The sequence below is a fragment of the Homo sapiens genome, chromosome 10, assembly GCF_000001405.40.
Source record: "Homo sapiens chromosome 10, GRCh38.p14 Primary Assembly".
Taxonomy (NCBI): domain Eukaryota; kingdom Metazoa; phylum Chordata; class Mammalia; order Primates; family Hominidae; genus Homo; species Homo sapiens.
In genome coordinates this window covers 51,801,571-51,824,375 of record NC_000010.11, presented here as the reverse complement: position 1 = coordinate 51,824,375, position 22,805 = coordinate 51,801,571, and the positions used below count along the sequence as shown (strand labels likewise).

Here is a 22,805-nt window from a genome sequence, read left to right as displayed (position 1 = left end):
TGCATACTGTATTTCCAACACTAAGTTACTCTAGTTGAACATTATATCTAAGGCTAAATTCATCTCAGGCAATAATGGAAATGTGGTTTGCAATGTCTGACTAACTAAAGTATTCACATTCATCAAGAGGCAGGATAAATGCTGTCCAAGCACCAAGACCTATAAGGAATTTATCATATGGATATACAAATCCTTGATAATAGGCCAGGAGTGGTGGCCCTCGCCTATAGTCCTAGAACTTTGGGAGGCCAAAGCGGGAGAATCACTTGAGCCCAGGAATTCAAGACCAGCCTAGGCAACATGGCAAAAGCTCATCTCTACAAAATGTACAAAAATTGGCTGGGCATGGTGGTGCACACATGTAGTCCTAGCTACTCGTTAGGCTGAGGCAGAAGATTTGCTTGAGCCCAGTAGTTCGAGGCTTCAGTGAGCTAAGATTGCACCACTGCACTCTAGCCCAGGTGACAGAGCAAGATCTTGTCTTAAAAAAAAAAAAAAAAAAAAAAAAAGGAGAGAGAAAAAAAAATTCTGGATAATATTACCAACAATTTATCTGAAGATAATTCTTATACCAATTAGGGATGGATATTTTAAATCATTTCAACATTTCTATGGAATACTACCATAGTTTAGGTATTTTAGACATTGATGCCCTCTTTCAAGACAGAATTAGGAAACCTAAAAAATGCATAGCTAACACTGGGCTTTAACCTGTCTCTCTCAAACATCGAAATGTTTCAAGAAATTTTCAAAAATTTATAGATAAATTCATGGATGAATTCTCTGACATGTGTCATAAGTGTCAGGACTTGATGATGCTGAGAAGAGAGGTACAGTCAAATGTTATATACTAGATATGAAGACAGAAGAAATGCCCTTCCACTGAGAAAACTTGGAAGCCCCGTGGTTCATGTTACAATTGGCTCCTGAGTTTGAAATGGCTAGTCCAGGGTTATCCCTTTGCATTTCAAAGTAATTCCACTGTTATTAGTTTCACCCTATATGCCATACAGAAGCAATGGATATAATTTATTGGTTAATGAGTTCCATTAAAATTTTTCCCCAAAAGCATGGATCTATCCATGCTTCCTATTATGTTAGACTTTTTATTAAAGTCTAGCATATTGTTTATCTGCCCTCATTTTATCTTGTTTTAATTTAAAAGGGTGGTTCTCAAGCTTTTTGGTCCCAGGACCCTTATACATTCCTAACAGTTGTTTATATGTGTTGTATCTATCTACATTTACCATGTTAAATAGTGACTGGAAAGTTTTAAAACATATAAGTATCCAAGCATACATATTATTAGCTGTCTTAGCCTCTAAAAAACTCCACTGTAACCTTGTGAGACAATGAAAAAGAAAAGGAAAATAATACCTTAGCATTATGAGAATAGTTTTGACCTCATGAATTCCCACTAAATAGTGTCAGGAATGCCCATGAATCTCCATATCATATTTTGAGAACCACCAGTTTAGAAGAACCACCAACAAAGGAAAAATCAGCTGTATGCAAAACAAACAGAAGAAAAAGGGCTACACTCCAGGCATGCACATACATCTTAAAGTTGTCCCCTGGGCAGGGTGCACTGCCCTGATGCACCACACAAGGGAAACACAGGGGGATGACCACATTGGACTGACTCACAATTATTAGCCCCCTAAGCCTTTTCTAAATTTTACAGAGCTAGGCACTCTCATCTAGCTTAGATTATCTCCAGAACTGAACAGGAGAAACTGGTGGGACACAGAACATTATCAATCCATGTGGTAATCACTGATTTCATTATGACCCATGGTACGTGTGTATGCCTTAAAGTAGAGGGGTATTTACAAAAATTGCACAAGACAATCTATGTGGCTGACAGAAAAAAATATTGCTAATTCTATCTACGTTTCTCTTACCTTTTTTTTCTTCATTTAGCGCCATTTGTTCAATAGCTCCCTATTTCCCCAATTCCTAGCCCTATAAACCCCCAGTTCACGCTCTTGTTTTTAGGAGTTCTACTTTTTTTAGTTTCTACACTTAAGTAGGATTATGCAGTATTTATCTTTCTGTGCCTGGCTTTATCTCACTTAGCACAATGTCCTCAATGCTCATCCATGTTGCGAATGGCAGTATTTTCTCTTTTTAAGGCTCAATAATATTTCATTGTGTGTGTATACACACATATAAATACACACACCATATACACACACATAAATGACATATGTATATATACATATATACATATGACATACATACATATGTTATATATATGTGTGTATATATATATGTGTGTATATATATACATATTCTTTATTCATTCATCTTGTAGATGGACACAGATTAATTCCATGCCCTGTCTATTGTGAATACACTGTAGTAAATATGGAGTGCAGATATCTCTTCACCATACTGATTTGATTTCCTCTGGCTATGTATTCAGAAATGGGATTACTTGAACATATGGTAGTTCTATTTTTAATTTTTTGAGGAAGCTCCATACTGTTTTCCATAATGACTGTAACAATTTACATTCCCATCAACAGTGCATAAAGATTCCCTGAAGATCAACTGACCATATGCATGAGTTTATTTCTGGGCTCTCAATTCTATTTAATATCTTATCTTTTCATAAATCTTATTTTGTATATGTATTAGTTCAGACATTTAAGTATTTAATGTCTTAAATATATAAGGTCAATATATATAGGTCAATACAGGTCAATGTGCTAAAATATATATAGGTCAATGTGCTAAATATAAATATATAGGTCAACGTGCTAAAAATATTGTTAATGGGGTGTACACTCAAAATATTTGCAGACTATGTGGTATTTTATTTGATTAAAATATTTTAACCAAATAAATTAAGATTGACAATACTAAATACTGTTAGGATCTGGAACAAACCTCTTTTTTTATATTTTTTAGGAGCATAAATTAGTTCAACCACTGTGCAAAATTATATAGCACTATCTATAAAAGTTATATATATGCTTCCTATATAACCCAGAAATTTTATTCTCAGGTATATACTTAAGAGAAATGAAGGCAGACGCTCACGAAAAACATGCTCAAGAATGTTTCCAGCAGCTTTATTTATACTAGCCTCAAAATGGCAATAATCCAAATGCCCTTTGTCAGTAAAAATGAATAAACAAATGGTGGCATATTTATGCAAGAGAATGTTACAAAGCAAGAATAAACTTTTGATACACACAGCAAAAGGTATGACTCTTCTAGACATAATGTTTAGCAAAAGAAACCAGACACAGAAGAGTACATACTACCTGATTCCATTCATCTGAAGTTGAAAAAGGGCAATACTAATCTGTAATGGTAGAACTCAGAATAGTGGTTACCTTTGGCAGAGGAGATTAACTACAAGGAGATTTGGGAGGGCCTTCCAAAGAAGTGGAAATGTCCTGTATTGTGAGCTGGTATTTTTTACATGAGTATATAAATATGTAAACATTCATTGATCTGTACTTTCAAGATTTGTGTATTTTACAGTACTCTGATATACTGAAATAAAAAATACTGTAAGAGTTATAACCAAATTAGGAAGTACCCAACTTAATTTTCTCCCCATCAAAACTAGAAAAGATCTATGAGAATCTTCTTTATCCACATGAAAACCCAGTGCGTACAGTAGGCTTAAAAGCAAACCACAAGTTTTCCATTACAAAGCCAAAAATCAGTCTCGCTTTCCTCCAGGATCATTCCCAGACATTGCCATTTTCCACTGCCTAAGAATAACCAGATTAGCTCCTGCTCTGAAGCCATAGCAAGGGTATGTGTGAAGGTGTGGGGTGTGGTCCTAGGCTCATAGGAAACAGCAGGAAAAAAAAGGCACAGAATCAGATTAGCAGGAGGTGTGCCTCTGCTTCTGTAGGTTGGACATTTTGGGGACAGAGGTCCTACCACACAACAGGTGCTCAAGATGCACACTGTAGATTGAGGTTATGTTGTCTTTCATTCTAATGCTTTTTTATTATTACACCTACCCTATCCCCTGGTCTCACAGAACTAAGAATCCTTAAAACTGAGAAAAAGAAGTAGATGGTGGCGGCATAAGAAAACAAAGAAGAGTTTGGAAAATTTTAATATTAAATAACATGGAAGGATATAATATTAAATTATCAGCAACACTAAAGCTGCATAGTTGTCACTAAAATAATTAGGTTAAAAGTTGCACATAAACAGGAAAATAGTTGCATATAACAGTTGTACATAAATAGTAAAATCCTTAAATAGCTATCAGTAGGTATCTGACATTAGGTATTTTTGGAAGGTGACTGCAATGATTTGTCTTTTCGGTTTCTATAAGTTTTATAAAATATATTCTTTATTAATTTATAAGTTGAACATTGAATAATTTTTAAAATCTTTTTTAAAAAAGCTATTTGAAACCCACATAAAGATGTCATCTGTGCCTCAATTGTCATGATGATGAAGCTTTTCATTCTCAATGATTATGAATTTATCATTGACTTCAGCTCTCCTCAAGTTATGACTTTTTCTGGGTATATCAAGGTCTTTAGCTACAATGTTACTCTAGTGTGATTCACTCTCTAATTCACTGTCTTCAGCATAGACCCTCAGCTTCATGAAAATTCCAGATCTGTCCCTATGTGCCCCTGGGACTGTGTGGCTTGTTTCCCTGGTTTGTATTCTGGCTCTTTCACCAACATTCTATTCCTTCTAGAGGGTCACTTACTCCCCTAGACTCTATTTCCTTTTCCTGACTCCTGCAAACACTATCTCCATTTATTTTATCAAACCCAGCTTCAACTAACTCTGTAGAGATCAAACTAATTGGCATGGATGGCAGCAGGACACGATGAGCCAGGTGAGATCAGGATAAGACATATAGACAGGTTCTTGGACCAAAATAGTGAGGTATGCAGAAACATGGACATAATGAAGTTTGCTGACTGCTATAGTTTGGATGTTTGTCCCCTCTAAGACTTGTGTTGAAATTTGATCCCCAGTGTTGGAGGTGGGGCCTAATGGGAGGTATTTGGGTTATGGGAGTGAATCCCTTATGAATAGATTAATGCCCTGGGCAGGATGGGAAAAGGGTGAGTGAGTTTTCTATTAGTTCCTGTGAAAGCTGGTTGCTAAAAAAGAAAAAAAAAGCCTGACACCTCCCCTCTCTTTCTTGCTTCCTCTCTCACCATGTGATCTCTATACATACCTTCTCCCCTTCACCTTCCACCACGAGGGGAAGCATCCTGAAGCCCTCCTCAGATACAGATGCAGGTATCATGCTTCTTGTACAGCCTGGAGAACCATGAGTCAAATAAACCTCTTTTCTTTATAATTTATCCAGCCTCTGGTATTCTTTTTTTTTTTTTTTTTTTTTTTTTTTTTTTTTTTTTGAGACGGAGTCTCGCTCTGTCGCCCAGGCTGGAGTGCAGTGGCGGGATCTCGGCTCACTGCAAGCTCCGCCTCCCGGGTTCACGCCATTCTCCTGCCTCAGCCTCCCAAGTAGCTGGGACTACAGGCGCCCACCACTACGCCCGGCTAATTTTTTGTATTTTTAGTAGAGACGGGGTTTCACTGTTTTAGCCAGGATGGTCTCGATCTCCTGACCTCGTGATCCGCCCGCCTCGGCCTCCCAAAGTGCTGGGATTACAGGCGTGAGCCACCGCGCCCGGCCCTCTGGTATTCTTTTACAACAATATTAAACAGACTAAGGCAGTGACAAAGCCAGTACTGAAGAGAGAATATGTATGCGTGTGCTGTGATTCTCAGAAAGCAAACATCTGGGGATTAAATAGGAGAGATCAAACACATTGTATAGTGTAGTATAATCAGATTGTTGTGAAATTTATACAAAAAATATCTATTTAAAGTAGTCAGCCATGTATTTTGAGATGTCAGAGCTATCTAACAAAGGCTATAAAGAAGAAACACTACTTGTAAAAGAAAGAAAATATCTCTTTTCTGACATGTTTGATTTTTTTTTGTAATCAAACAGAGTATCTCTTGTCTATATTATGGGGCTTCGAAGTTAAGTAGAAACTGTTTAGTGCTAGAAAGACTAACTAGATGTTAGAATTCTGAGAGTCAGAAACAGTGAAGACTCTCTGGATGAACTGTTATCAGTGAGACAATGTATCCTTAATGTAGGCTAAATAAATTCTAAAATAATATTCTAGAAGAGACTCCAATCTCCTTGCACTGGTTTGACTTCTTATCTAATACAAAAGCTAATTTTGATGTGTTTCTATATGATAACAAAATCTGATTTAGGTTAATTCTATATGTCCCATATAGAATTCTGCATATTTTCAGATGGCCCAATCCTTGCTACTACATTCTGGCACACTGTCTTCCATCTGTTGAGATAGGTGTCCAAAAGGACTTAAAATATGAATTGGACACATTTAACATAGCAGAATATACCAGTTTAAATGAAAAAAAGTGATTACTTGTTGTTTATACATAAGTCTTACCTTTAAGAAGCAATTGACTACACTTATACATATGAATGTATTGATTTATTGTGAATGAGAGAAGGAAAGAAAAGAGAAGAAGAGGAAGGAAAAAATGAAGTTAATGTCATTTAGAATAATATTCATTAACTGAAAACAAGTCAATAACTTCTTGCTGTTCAGTATTTAACTACTTTTCATACTCATTTATTGGTTGGTCCTAGATTATTTTGTCATATTTTTATCCAGACAAGATAGAAACATAAATTAAAAATAACAACAACACATATGTTTATTGCAGCACTGTTCACAATAGCAAAGACTTGGAACCAACCCAAATGCTCATCAGTGATAGACTGGATAAAGAAAATGTGGCATATACACACCATGGAACACTATGCAGCCATAAAAAAAGGATGAGTTCATGTCCTATGCAGGGACATGGATGAAGCTGGAAACCATCATTCTCAGCAAACTAACATAGGAACAGAAAACCAAACGCTGCATATTCTCACTCATAAGCGGGAGTTGAACAATGAGAACACATGGACACAGGGAGGGGAACTTCACACACCAGGGCCTGTCAGGGGAGGGGGGGGGTTGGGGAGGGATAGCACTAGGAGAAATACCTAATGTTAGATGATGGGTTGATGGGTGCAGCAAACCACCATTGCACATGTATACCATTGTCACAAACCTGCACGTTCTGCACATGTATCCCAGAACTTAAAGTATAATTTAAAAAAAATAAAAATAAGTACAAAATCTGCCATTCCTTTGGGCCCCGCTGCCCCAAACACCAAGACCTAATTTCAAGAAGCAATGCTAAGTGTACAGAGTTCAACGCACATAAAACCAACCTGAAGTCAAAATTTGTAACAATTTAGAATTCTGTGTAATTAAAATTCTTAAATTTTAATATTTCTTTTCTTGCTTTCTTGGCTGTGTTCCTGTTAGATTTACTAATGTATTTAATTTCTTTAAAAAATAAAACAAGTAAATCCATCCTGCAAGGCAACTTTGATTTATCTTCATTTGCACAACAAACCAGAGCACTTACATAGTTTTTTCCAAACCTGGAATACAATGTTTACCCATTGGACCCCCTCCAGCCAACAGGGAAAACAGTATTTATTCAATTGCTTGAAAAGTACTGAATAATTTTAAGCACTCTATATGTATTTATAAAATAACTAAAATTGTGCTGCTTAATTGGAGTTCTTCTGGGCTTTAGCATAAATATTCTATCACTTATTATACACACACAAAGTAAATAATAAAATTACATCATTATTAGAACTCAAAGAAAAAATCCTCTCTCCTCTGTTTTGAAATTACTTTTAAAAACCTCAGATTTAACTATGGATGGATGATTACACACACACACACACACACACACACACACACACATGCCAAAATTATATGTTAGGAACTTTTCCATGAATTGAAATGTTTATAGCAATGCACTTCCAAGGAATATTTTCAATATATTTGTAATGATTTTTGCACATATTCACCAATTGACATTACTTTTTTTATTCTATAAAAAGTTTACAAGTATTTGTTCTATTATTCTTCCTCTGACATTACCCATTTATAGGAAATTGGCCTGATAAATTAACAGAATGAGGATTTTTGGATTGGACCTGGTTTTAAATCCAAACCCAGGCTCAGGGGGAGGCCAGCATAATGAATCAATGTATTAAGTCTCTTAGCCAAGGACTTAGTCTTTTCTTGGACTAAACAGGGCTTATCTGTGTGAGATTCATTACTGATGCTGGGAAACCGCTAATTTTCACGATTCTGGTTACTGCCTCAGTAAAATGGAAATGCCTTAGTAAAATCATATTGGTAAATAAATTATGATTAACTTTCTTAAAGGAGCTGTCAAAATTAAGTGAGATAATAATGTGTGTAAGGAGGCAGGTGCCAGCTTATTCTGTTTTGAGTTTTGGATTTCCCTTGCTCTCCCTCACTGCCTTGAAAACACTCACACTGGGTTTGGTAAAGGGAGTGTTCACAACAAAGCCCCTAGTTGTGCTGTGAAGCACTGTGCTCATGCTGCCTCTAAGGGCTTCCCTTTCCAGGGGCTGCTTTCCCTGCACCCTAGAAAGAGTCAGAAAATCAGGATTCTCAGATTCATAGACACCCATGCTGCCCAACAGCCAGATTCTAAGCTGTCCGTTAAGAGTTCGCCTTGGTAAAATCATATTGATAAATAAATTATGATTAACTTTATTCCAAGCCAAAACCAAAAACAAACAAACAAAAAAGGACCTATGATGCTAATTCTGACTTTCTCATGCTTTTTTTAAACTGACAAACTGATGTATTGGCCTCTTCTCAGGACAGATGAAATGTACACACTAAGACGCTTTCTTTGTCTAAATTGCCCTAGTATTTATTTTGCACCTCAGCAGGATTTTTTCATTCCCACTTCCGATTCTCTATCAGATTTCTCTCCAACCATGAGGAAGTGGGTTTCTATATCAAGCAGAGAAATCTATGTTGCTGGGATCCCAGAAGACCACCCTTCTTAATTTTTCCCAGTAACTCATGGATTCTCTCTGAATTTGTTTGTTACAGAATGGTTTTCCTTATGGAAAAGAACTCACTCCCAGATGCACTAATCCTCTGTGTACAAAACATTTTACAAGCATGGAACTGTTATTAGGCTCAATCTGGATGATACAGAAATAAAATAAGCCTTACTACAGGAAAGATTTATAAGGTTCAAAGCTACAACAGGCTAGAGGAATATTAAACTGCTTTGTCACACTGTTTTAGATTTTTGGAACCCCAGAGTTTTGAGAAAGTATTCTTATGGAGATAGTGAGGAAAAGTTGCCTACAGTCCTTAAAGAGACTGATCCCTGGTAACCCAGGCTCAGGGAGAGGCCAGCACAATGAATCAATTTATTAAGTCCCTTAGCTGAGGACTTAGTCTTTTCTTGGACTAAATAGGACTTATCTGTGTGAGATTCATTACTGACTCAAGTGGAAGATTTTACCACAAATATAATCAACTATCTTATTAATTAGTTGCAAGAAGTAGAAAAAACTTACATGTATGGAGGTGAAAGTAACAATATGAAATGTGCAGATGAATAATTTTTTAAAAATTAGCCTATAATTATGCAAATATCTGAGATTACATTGTCTTTCTTTTTTTAATAAAAAATGGATCAATATGGAGACATTTGTGCAAATGCTAGATGACAACATAAAATTAATGGCCACTTTTAGATTTACCTGCTCCTTGTGTCATCTTTAATGAGAATGAATCTGCTACCACAAAATGGTCTGTGAGCAAACCAACTTGAAAATGGGGTGAGAAAGTGCCTCTTTATTTATTCTTCCCAATATTTCCCTTCAAATTAAAACTATACCAGCTTTGTCAAGCTTAATTCTAATGCAGGTTTCACAAACTTCTAGAAAAGCTCTATTAAAGCTCAAAGCTTAAGAGCTCAATAGGTCTGTCATTGAGTCTTAAGAAACAAACAAAAAAAAATTAAGTTCTAACAGCCCCCAAATTGTTTTAATATGCACCTTCTCTTTCCCATCTCTTTTTGTAAATGATAGAAGAAAAATATGGGGAAAGGGAAATCATTATTTTAATTTCCCAGAATTGTGATCTCTACAAACTGATTAGACAATATTGTTGTATTTTATAGAATTTGTGCCCAAAAAGTGGCATCTTCATTTGTTCAGGTTAAAGTGTACAAAAGATACTTTGTATGTGTCCAAACAGTTCAATTCCTTAAAAGATCACAGAGCATAGCCTAAGCAAGAACAGGTCCCACTTACAGACTACAACCTGTGCTTGAGGAACTCAAAGGCAGGAGGTTAAAAAAGAACCAGAAATGCAGTGTCTGAATGTCTGCAGAAGACACTGATCCTGAGTTGTAAGTCATTTAATATTTGTTTTAGAAATCATGGTGTCTGCTTATGTACAGGTGGTGGGTTTCCAAACAACTGAAAGCCCCTTCACTGAGCCTATGTAATTCTAAGACATTGTCACTTGTTTAAAGTGATAGCTCTTAAGCTATTACTGAGCATTTTTTTGAGAACATATTCTAGAGGGGTGAGAGGAAGGGAAAATACTACTGAGGTTTGGGAGGAGGGCACTGAGAGAGAAAAATATGGTGAATAGGAAACCCAGGTACTCCAAGAACAAAATCAACCTAAGGCTGAAATCTCCAGGCTAAGTAAATGCCAATTTAATGAGCAGGACAGCAATGTGCAGGGACTAATATTTGGGTATCCAGAATTTATTGAGGCAGTATAGGGTGGAGTTTAAGAGTATCAGTTCTATAGACACTGGCTCTACCCTGAATACCTGTGTAGTTTTCTTTATCTGTTTGGCCTTAGTATTCTTACCTGTAAAATGGAAATGATGTTATAATAGTACTTTACGAATTTTTGTTGAGAATAAGTTAATACATCTGCAGCATTTTGAACACTGCTTGGCACACACTCAATAAATTTTTACTAACATATTATTTTGTTTATTTCTAATTATGGTCCTTGATAGTGGGAGGGTTTACTACATTTTTTATTGCACCTAAATGTAAAGAATCTTGCCTACGATTATATTAGGTTGGTGCAAATGTAACTGAAGTTTTGGCATTGTTGAAATTTGCCATTTGATATTGGAATGCATTCTTAAATAAATGTGGTTATGTCATACATCATTTTATGCTTTTTTGCCAATGACTTATTACTTTATGCTTTTTTGCTAATGGCTTATTACTTTATGCTTTTGTGCTAATGGCTTATTACTTGCTGTTTATTTTATGCTTATTTTAGACTATGGAAATGATGTTAGACAAAAAGCAAATTCAAAAGATTTTTCTTATTTGAGTTTGAAGTGGGTCCTAAAGCAGCAGAGACAACTTGAAACATCAACAACACATTTGGCCCAGGAACTGCTAATGAATGTACAGTGCAGTGGTGTTTCAAGAAGTTTTGCAAAGGAGAGGAGAACCTTGAAGATGGAGAACACAGTGGCTGGCCATCGGAAGTTGACAACGACCAGTTGACAGCAATCATCTAAGCTGATCCTCTTACAACTACACAAGAACTTGCCAAAAAACTCAACAGTCATTTGTCATTTGAAGCAAATTGGAAAGGTGAAAAAGATCAATAAATGGGTACCTCATGAACTGAGAGAAAAAAAAATCATCATTTTGAAGTGTCGTCTTCTCTTATTCTGTGCAACAACAACGAAGCATTTCTCGAATTGGTTCGTGACATGAAATGAAAAGTGGATTTTATCCAGCGATCAGTGATGACCAGCTCAGTGGCTGGACTAAGAAAAAGCTCCAAAGCACTTTCCAAAGCAAACTTGCACCAAAAAAAGTCATGGTCACTCGTTGGTGGTCTGCTGCCAGTCTGATCCACTGCAGCTTTCTGAATCCTGGCATAACCACTGTATCTGAGAAGTACACTTAGCAAATCGATGAGATGCACTGAAAACTGCAATGCCTGCAGCTGGCATTGGTCAACAAAAAGGGCCCGATTCTTCCCCATGCAATGCCTGCCCACGCATCGCACAACCAGTGTTTCAAAAGTTGAATGAATTGGGCTAAGAAGTTTTGCCACGTTTGTCGTATTCACCTGACCTCTTGTCAACTGACTACCACTTCTTTAAGCATCTCGACAACTTTTTGCAGAAAAAACACTTCCACAACCAGCAGGATGCAGAAAATGCTTTCCCAAGAGTTTGTCAAATCCCTAAGCATGGATTTTTATGCTACAGGAATAAACAAGCTTATTTCTCATTGGCAAAAATGTGTTGATTGTAATGGTTCCTATTTTGATAAATAAAGATGTGTTTGAGCCTAGTTATAATGATTTAAAATTCACAGTCAAAACTGCAATTACTCTTGCACCAACCTATCATATACCTATAAATGGTGAAACCAGGATTTAAACCCAGGCACTCTTCATATTAATAAGTCATACAAATACTCAAAATATTTGAAATATATTTTGTACTTTCATCTTATGTCCTAGATAAGTGGTTCTCCAAGAATGATCCCCAGACTAGCTGCATGAGCATCAGGTGAGAACTTAAAAAATGCACATTTTCTGGCCCCATTCCAAATCTATCACTAAAAATGGATATTACAAGGGCATCTCTGTGCAGTTACTTTCTCTTTCCTTAGAGGATATGACAACTTAGGCAAGATCTTCACAGAATATCCTATAGGAAAGGCAAAAACACTAGGACATATGTTTAGTCAAGATTGTGGGGAATTTTACCTTGAAGATTTTGAACAAAACAAAGATGATATTCTGGGATAGTAAAATTTCAGACTTGCCCAGGCACAGGGATCATTTTATTAGCAATTTTCTGGGTGATGTGAGGCAGCTCTCCTCACTGATCTAGGCCCAGTTCTCTCATCAGTAGAATGAAGAAACTTTCACACTCCTCACAACTTTATATTCTACTCAACAAACTCTAATTCTCTCCCGACTACACTTTTAGAAATATGATAAAATACAATTAAAATATCAAAATAAAGTGCCTGTTGGATTGAGTTATTAAAAAAATGAAACCAGATTTTTAAATTGGATCAAAGAAGGAAAAGCTTGTAAGGGCTTTAGAAATTTTATTTCTAAAAGATTGAAAATAAAGGTATATAGTTAGAATATAGACAAAAGTTTATATAATATTGAATTAATAATCTAAATAAGTTGCCTTTGTGGAAAGGAACAATGAAAATATTACTAAACTACCCTCACTTTAGTTTACTGTAGTAGGGAGCTGCCATCAGAAAACAAACTATGAACTGGAGTCCAGGTAAGGTGTAATACTCAGGCTAGAGATTCAGAAACCTGAGTTTTAGTCTAAGCTCTGTTTTTTACTGGGTATGAGCTTATTTTGATCTCTTTGAGACTTAGTTGCTTCAGCTATAAAATGTGCAGAGAAATTAAATGACATCACATCTTAGATTTTTCTAAATCTAAAATCATTTAATCCTTGTTGATTTATCAGACCACAGAGGTGATGATGCATCATTATGTAGATCCCATCCAGTGACAGGTGAGGCAGAAACCACAAAATGATAAAAATGTAAAGCAATTAAACAGAAGTTTCAGAAAAGTTTGGTTGAAGTATGGCCCATAGGCAGAAGTCAAGGGGTGATCTCAACATAAAATTGACTTCCTAGTCAAGGCCATTCTGATATCAAATGAAAGTATAAAGTTTCAATAACAAAGTCATATTTTTTTAAGGGAAAATCACTTACATTCATAATACATATATATAAATAGGTAGCACATTTATTTAACAATATGTTGGATATATATACAAGCATTATTGTTTTAGAGAATAAGGGAAAAGCACATGTGGACTTGGGGCTCACTACCTAGTAATGGAGATAAAGAATAAGGAAGCTTTACACAGCACTAAAATCTGGCAGGATTTTTAGAATGGAAATTATGGAATAAGGAGGGATCATCAAAGCAGCTCTATGACTTGCCAAGGGCTCACCCATCATCTTGATCCTTTGTATACAGATGCTACAAGGCCCCCATAGAGGGACATCAGTTTTGGATTTTGGTTACAAATCACCTCCCAGTAATGAGGGCTTCCTGGCAAAGATTTACCCTTCTGGTTAAAAGGGGCCAAACCATATGATCAGTACTTTTAAAATTGAACAACATCTTCAAGTTCTTTAACAGTTGGAAAGTCAGGTGGGAATCAAATTATCACCAAAAATCTTCAAAGTCTGTGAACTTTACAATTATTTGTATTGAAAATATAATGTAAAGCTCAGTGGTGAATACTATTATTGCCCCCATTCAACTCAAGGAAGGGAAATCAGACATTTATAAGAGTTTTGAGAGATATCAGGTTCTATTTTCCACTATGGCAGGCATACTTGATGTGTTGTCACATCTTAGATCACTCTGGTAATGCATCCATTCAAAGGGAGGGGAGTCTCTTGAGATAATCTTTATTAAGAGGGGCTGTGGAGCATCTAAGGAGATGAAACAGTACCTGTGACTGGGACAAGGGAGGATGAGAGAATAAAGAAGGAGAAGATGGAGAGTGAGATGAGTCTGGAAGAGTGTCGGGGCAGGCAGTGCTTGGAAGACAATGGTAAGAACTAGGTAGGCTTTCTCCTAGGAGTGATGGGAAGATATGGAAAGGTTTAATGCAAGAGGGATGACGTGAGCATATCTGTCTTACCAAGTGGATAAAGAAAATATTTTCTGAGGGTGAACAGGATCTACTGTGTAGCTTAAATTCCAAAAAGCCCCTGCCATCTCTCTGATTTGTCAGTGAAACAAGTAATATAAATCAGGGTCCACCACTATCATTGTCCTCATCAGCTTCATAATTTGGGAACAAAAGAAAACCTAGTTTCTACAAGTAAACCCCAATGGTCACACAGCTACATACTAATGCTCCTCTGGGTATAGATACCAGTTTTAATAGCAGTAACAGAGAATATGCTCAGAAGAAAGTAACACAAATTAACTCTGGCAGTTATTTGGCTCATTTTTCAGAATCTGTCTTAAAAACAACAGTATTTTTTAGTAGCCAAAGATGACAGAAAATGCTGGCAACTGGCAAAATCATCGTTTGACTTATAGCAATTATGCCATGCTTAGTAGCACTGCCCTTTGAATACCTTTTTTTTTTTCTATGATCTGGATAGAAACATCTGTGTTTACATCAGGGAATCTGAAATACAGGCACAAAAGAGAAATGACTAAATAGGATTAAAGAGACAGAATCACAGTTTGATGTGGCATCTAATAGCAAAGAGGGGGCCAAACCACATGACTGGGAGTTACAAAATGGGTAAATACAATGGAATAAAAATAAAACCCAACTTTGACAATAAAGAAAAACTCTTGCCTGTTAGCAGTGCATTTATATGCCTGGTGTGTCCACTTTTCTCCTCCTCCAAACTTACGTGTTTATTCAGAAAAATGAGAAGAAACAGTGGCACCATAAGATAAGAAATTATAGAGAGCCACTCATTTTTTAGCCTGTGGCAGCTCCTGAAATTCCTCGGTTGGGAAGGCATTGGGATGTACAACAGAGACCCCTACCGAAAAGAACTCTGATAATTTGCATGATCCTTTGCTAGAGTTTTCATTTTTTTAATAGCATTGCCATTGCTTTACCCCTTCAAGTCATTTACAAAGTATAAAGTATAAGATATCTATAACAGAAAAATGTAGATGCAAGTTTTATTTAGCAAACACATAGAGAAAAACATCCCCCTCTTCACAGACTGCTTTAAAGCACTTAAAGTCAATATTTTTATAATATTAAGTAAGCCTTCCTATATATGCAGTGGTGTTTCTGTTTTTGTTTTTTGAGACAGGGTCTCTCTCTGTTGCCCAGACTGGAGGGCAGTGGCAGGATTTCAGGTCACTGCAGCCTCAACCTACCAGGCCCAAGTGATCCTCCCCCGTCAGCCTCCTGAGTAGCTGGTACCACAGGCACATGCCACTGCACCTGGTAATTTTTCTATTTTTCTATTTTTTGCAGAGACAGGGTTGCACATGTTGACCAAGCTGGTTTCAAACTCCTGAGCTCAAACAATCCGCCCACTTTGGCATCTCAAAGTGCTGAGATTACAGGCCTGAGCCACTACACCCAGCCGAAGTCATAAAGAAAAAAGTGATAAAGTCATAAAGAAAAAAGTGATAAGTCACTTTTTGTAAGTCATAAAGAAAAAAGTGCTTGACTATACAAAAAAACTTTAAAGTTTTATATGATGTAAAAGAAAGACAGGCAATTTTTTAAAAAGCAACAACAAACAGGGAGATAAAAGTAATTCTGAAGTTACAGGAAAGCAATTAATTTTGTCTTCTGAGTTTTTGATAGTATCTATCATTGAGGCTATTATGCCATCTCTTAATAGCCTTGAAAAATAAATGGTACCAAGTATAGCTAACCTGGGGATGTGAAGAAGGAATTAATATTATTCACTCTTCTGGCTTTCGGAGCTCAGAAAAACACACCCTGAAGGGAAGGCCTCAGAACACCTTTCTTTCTGACCTTCTCCTGCCTCCTGTCTCTGGCTTCTCATTCTCCCCTGAGGCAAGCCATAGAAACTAGAATTCCTTTTCCCCAAAGCAAGTCATAGAGACAGACTCCTTTTTCCCCCCGAAAGCCATCCATAAAGCCTAAAAATATTATTTTAACCTTCCCCTGCTTTTCTGTTTGACAGCTGTCATGCAGAAATTAAGATTCTCATTCCAAAGGAGTCCTACCTCATACCTGGAAGGAAGAAATGCTACAACAGAGAGGCCAAGAAGAATCTCAACAGACAAGCCTTGCTGGTTTTCCTCACTTAGGCCACTATCATTAGAGCACTCTCTTTTCATTCAAGCACAATTCTATCACTGCCCATTCTCATTAAACCTAAGCATAAAAATGCAGTTTTCCCCTGTATTGTCAGGACTTCATTCAGAAAGGCTCCTGTGTCATCTTAATCTTTAATTAAATAAATCTGTAATGCTTTTCTCTTGTTAACCCGTCTTTTTATATAAGTGTGTCATCCATGACCCTTACAATGGAGAGGAAAGGGATGGTACCCTTTCCACCCCTACATGGCTTCATGGATGTGTGACTTGTACCGAAGAATAGGACCTGCACTTACAAGGTTCCTACATTTGATTTAATGCTGTGCTGTCAAGGTCTTTAATTTTTTATCAATTTTTGAAAGAGGTCCTGCATTTTCATTCTTCAATGAGTGCTGAAAATTATGTACTGGCTCTGTACTCACTGTTCTATAAAGTGCCTATCTACAAAGCAGTAAGTTTTGTGCCAAAGAAGCATACAAAGATATTTAAGAAATAACCCTAGTTCTAAACAGCTTATAGTCTAGAAGTAGAAATAAGCTTAAGGTCAAATTACAATAAACCAAAGCAGACAATAAAACACATGGCAGAGATGAAGCTCCAGAGGAGGAAAGACGTGACTTCTCAGTGTAATGAGGTAAGTATACATGGAAAGGCAGCTTTTAGTTGGGTCCAAAAAGCAGAGAAGAATTTGAACATTGACAGTGACGGAGGAGAGGGGCAGGCAGAGAGGGAATGTGCTGTGAAAAAGCACAGGGAAGGCATGGGTACATGGAATTGTTTGGTTTGCAGGAAGAGAGAAGAATCCAGGCTGAAAAACCTCACTGTTTTTGGCTATAGGAGGGCCTTGAATGTCCAACTAATGAGGCTGTAAATAATGCAACAGGAACTGTGCTCCACTGAAAAAGTTATAGAGAGAGAACCAGTTGGTCACAGTTGTAATTTAGGAAGATTAAAGCTGGCCTCAGGCAATGATGGTCATCCTGTCACCTCTCTGGACTCCCGGCCCAGTCCTATGTTCACAAACAATGTGAACTTGATGTTTTATGGAGTAGCCAGATGGAAAGTGACATCCAAGTCAGCAACCACCTCTTTTTTTATTCAGCCAGTTAAACTCTGCCAGCTCTATTCTGACCAACAAAAAATGTTCACTTACTTTGGAGAGCCAATTTTATTGTTTAAGATTTGAATTTGAAAACACACACACACATACACACGTGCGTATGCACAGATTGAGACATCTTCATCTCCTGAAATAGTGCTACCAGAAAGAGTTCTTGTTAGAGTCATTTGAGATAGCATTGGCACTCAGTCCATTTTCTTGGAAAAACAAACTTATGGAAGCTAAAATCAACATCGTAAGTGTCCAACGCTTAGGTATGTGAGATGAATAATGGACTGCATTCCATAGGTTACCATTTCATTGATTACCAGTTGTAATCTTTATCAGAGCTGCACTAGAAGAAATCAATAGCTCTTAAACTGTAAGTTAAGGCTTAAAGTGAATATTCATTCTCTCTGTCTCTATCTTTCATCATACACACACATACACACAACATACGTATAGACACATATATATCAACACATACATATATATATCTCACCCAATATAGAAGGCACCTGAATAATTTAATTCCCTTGAAAACCATATTAAATTTCAAATAGGAATTTACATTTCTACCTCTTCTAAGTGTTTCTTCATCCAATCACATTGAGGAAAAAAATCAACACCCTGCTGACAGTAATTAATGCTGATATTATTACTTGATATCACATTAGAATTGTATTACCCCTTTAGCATGAATATAAAAGGTCTTACATGGAAATAAAAATGTATAAAAGATGAAGCAGTAAGAAAATAAATTAACTACAAGAAATATCCAAGTAAGGAATATCAAAAATTGCATCTTAAGAAAATTCAGTAGTTACCTATTAAGATGTATCACTAAAGCAAAATGTGAATTTGACTTTTTAGCTTCATTTTAACAATTTATTCACCAAAAATAAAAAGCAAAATAAAAAAGTTAAACATTCTACCGATCAAAAATGAAACCTTAATTAGCAGTACACTCATTATATGCTCATATAACTTGTGTATTACTATTTCATAATGGCTCTGTTTTCAAAAGAAAAGTAATTTTAAAAATAAGTGCTTTTTAAAAAGTCATGAGAATTGTCAATATTCTTTTCAGTTATAAGATAATATATTTTCTTTAAAATAAAATAAACTTGCAGACAAAGAAATTCATTTCAGTGAGTATCAATGTATTCCTAAGAAATAAAAAGCTGGTTTTTATTCTAATTTCCATCCTATATTGAGTTATTATGATAATATATAATATAAACGAAAGAAAAGCTTTTGATATTTCAAACCTGTAGCATAAAATGAATTTTATTTGGGAAATTAAGCTCAGGATTAAAGGATAATAAGCTATTTCTTGGAACTTTTTCATCTTAGTCATCTGACCTTTCATATGGAAACTCACACAAGAGATGACTCGGCCTTACAGTGTGAGTCTGTTTAGAAGATGTGTCATAAATATATTAACCAATAAATAGTTGAAGATGTATTCAATATCCTTTTTTGTTCAAGCACACTTTTATTTGTTTCTCTGAGTTGCTCACTTCTATGAGAGAATGGCTTAATACATGTCATGAAACTCTGAAGTTCTGACTTAACCATACGTCATGGAAACTGGCACCAGAAATATAAAGAAGCTTGTTTGAAGTCTTACATCTCTACAGATTTATCACCAGAAATATAAAGAAGCATGTTCGAAGTCTTACATCTCTACACATTTGTAGACTATTATGACTGAGAGAAAGGCAAAAAGCACCCTGAAATTCAGGGTGCTGCATTTCAGATAATAGGGCTAAAAGGAAAGTAAACACTCTCACAAGAGAAAAGAAAGCATCCTACCTTTTTAAAAATTCCATATACTCGGTATGCTTGATGAGTCCTGTCCTCATCATTATTGTTTGAAAACATTGTCGATCAATGGCCCAGAGTTTTACATTTACAAGAGCTGGAGAAAAATAAAAGAGAAACAAACAGGGAAAAATTAATCAGAGAATTTCAACTGTGAACAACATCCTGCAAAGGAGATGAGCTATTCATGAGAATCATGAAAATGATTGACTTTTTACAAACATTTAAAGCTAATATCACAATGCTATCCTATTTCATTAAAAAAGTCCTATATGTTTACAGGCAAAATGTAGTTCATAATTTTCCATACTCGCATTATTATCTACTAGGAAGATTCCTGTTGCCCTTGCTCTATGACCCTTGGGGGTTGATTGTCTAAGCCCACATAGAAAGTATTTTGTAAATCAAGGCTATATATGAAGAAAATAGCGTGAAGAAAAAAGAGGTTCACAAGTAATAATAAACCCTAGTAATTACCCAGCATGGTGTTAATGACTCATATGACAATATTTTAATTATAAAAAGTAGAAGTAAAATTTCAATTTTCAGGCTTAGGGGAGAATTTATATAATAGAAATAATAGTTACACAATGATTTCCACACAAAGCTCGTTTTACAAATTGAAATCTGTGCCCAAAGTTGCCACGTGGTAGTTTCAGTAGACATGTTTGTTGAATTTTAATTTATTCTCTTATGCACCACTATCTTTGACAATGCATAATTAAATGTTGAAGCTGAATACCCCACAACTTCACCATTTGATCTATTAAGCACATGACTAAGAGAAGTTTAAAAGACAAATGTTATAGTTTGTAACACTTTTAAAATGAGCACATTAAAAATCTTGGTTATTACATTGGTGTGATGGCATATGAGAGATTTCTTATTCTCTTTACTTTTATATATGTTTTCAAATTTTCATGACATAAAATATTTTAAGCTAGCAAATGAACTAAAAAAAAACAATTCAAATATCATAGTCATGGGGAATGTAGTCTGAGGAAGAGCTTTGAATAGGGCCAGGATATAGTTAATTGAGCCAAACATAGAAAGACAGAAGAGCGCAATTTTCTCTGCTTCACAGTTCTCAAGACTAAGCCCAGTGAATGTGATGGATCATGATTTGGGAGTGAAGGAGGAGAAGAAAAGTTATCAGAGGAATTAGGACATGTGTGTGCCTTGTGGGGAGGAGCTAGAAGTTACACACAAACGAACAGGGGAGAAGGAAGATAAGAGGAATGAATATTGTACTCCAGAGTAAACCCATCTTTGAATTGTATCTATTTTTTTCTTGCAACATTTAAGCTGCAAAACTAGAATATGACTCCTCCTTTGGCCAACTCTATATTAAAGAAAAAACAAAACATGCTCACTGAAGTAGAAATAGAACAAAGCAGCCGGAACTTGTGTGTGCCTGGCTCCATTCTAAATGTTTTTTTACAAATGACACTTCATCAAAAACAAAGGTAGTGCAGGTATCCTTCAGCCAGATTCTAATACATCTGCTGCCTCCAGACTCTTTTCTACAATACCCTTTTACTTGAGACAAACAGTAAGACTGGATGATATAGCCACAAAGAACTTGGGAAATCAGGAGAGGATTCCTAAGAGTTGGAACAGGAAGTGGGACCTTAAAAAGTGGTGGGAGCTGAGCTACAAAAGAGGTGGGCAAAGAGTAACTGGGTGGGGAAAGTACATAAACAAGAGCACAGTTGGAAATGAGCTCAGGAGTCTACCAGGAAAAGAGACTGAAATGGCTGAGCTTTCCGTAGTGTTGCTGCACGGTTTGGGGGTAGTGCATGCACATGCACACGTATTTATTGTGGCCAAGCTATCTGCAGCATTTTAAGTCTGAGTTCGCACCTCAAGCCCAGGCATTGACCCTGGTCCCTTCCTGTCCTATGAATTGCTGCTTTTTTCTATCTGTTTCTCTCCTTGGTGCTTAGCATGTGTTAATATTGTTATCTCTCTCCCAGGTCTGTATCATGTTTCCTTATATAAATTTGTATATGCCTTCAGAGAAAAGTCCCTGTCTCATCTCTTATAATCTCTGCTCCTCCACTAGAAATTAGCATTTCATTTGGTAGGCATTAGGCAAATTTGTTAATGAACTTTATGTACATGAAGTTCACCTGCAAAAACCCACAAAATAATTTAAGCCTGTGTAGCATCTGATGCCCATCAAAATATCTAAACTGAATGTATCAGATTTCATTATCTATGTGTTGAAAAATGACTTTAAAAAATAAATTGACAGAATTCAATAATTTCATTTTACTTTTTGGTTCCTGTTTACATGGGCTATTTAAATGTCTCTAGGTAAAACTGTAGTTCAGATATTTTGCATGATAATAAACATAGCTTGATGAGATTGCAAATTTGTCCATGACCTTGGGCATGATACCAAAACCATTTTTATATTTAGCTTTGGCCAACATACATATTAGTCAAGTCAGCTTTTTACAGATGGACAAGCATGACTAATAATCACCTTGACTTATTATCAAAAATATGGTTATATTAGAGTTGTGATTAACATCTTGCTTTTTAACTAGCCTGCTGGAGTGTAAATCTATTGCTTCCTTAACTTACAGAGACCATTCAAAAATATATCTCTTCATTCACCTTTGATCTTAAGTGATGTGTTAATCTCCATAGGGAATAAGCATTTCACAAATAAAATTCCTGTGATTTTCATGATGATTACTGTTGAACATTTAAGTCTAAAGGGTATAAAGCTGAGACAGTGCTGGGAAGTGATTTTCCTTTTTGTTCAAGTATGTATCTAAAATTCTTTGCTGAAACGTATATCATTTTCTCAGGTTAAGATCACATACATCCCACTCAGTGGAAAATAAACTCCCATTACTCTGAGACCTCTAAACACACAAGTACATTGAGAACAACTTCAATGCATGAAACAGTTGGCCTTCATTTAGGGGACACCAAGATTACAGAGGAAGGAGCCATAAAATTGTGCTAGACTAAGAGACCACAAATCTGGATTTGGCTTAAGTTCTTCTACTGAGGAATTCATCTGTTGTTCAACTCAAATTCTGGAAGAATATTGGGAAGCATATGTAAGTATAATGCACTTATAGACTCAAATAT

General features: G+C 36.1%; 1 protein-coding gene across 5 annotated transcripts in view; it reads right to left on the bottom strand.

The window, feature by feature from the left end:
- PRKG1 (protein kinase cGMP-dependent 1) overlaps positions 1 to 22,805 on the bottom strand; it is a 1,307,463-nt gene that overhangs the window by 473,975 nt on the left and 810,683 nt on the right. For all 5 annotated transcript variants that reach the window (NM_001098512.3, XM_017016413.2, NM_006258.4 and 2 more), the window contains exon 4: positions 19,686 to 19,791. In NM_001098512.3, coding sequence (NP_001091982.1) covers positions 19,686 to 19,791 — 106 coding nt within the window. The remainder of the gene's footprint in view (positions 1 to 19,685; positions 19,792 to 22,805) is intronic.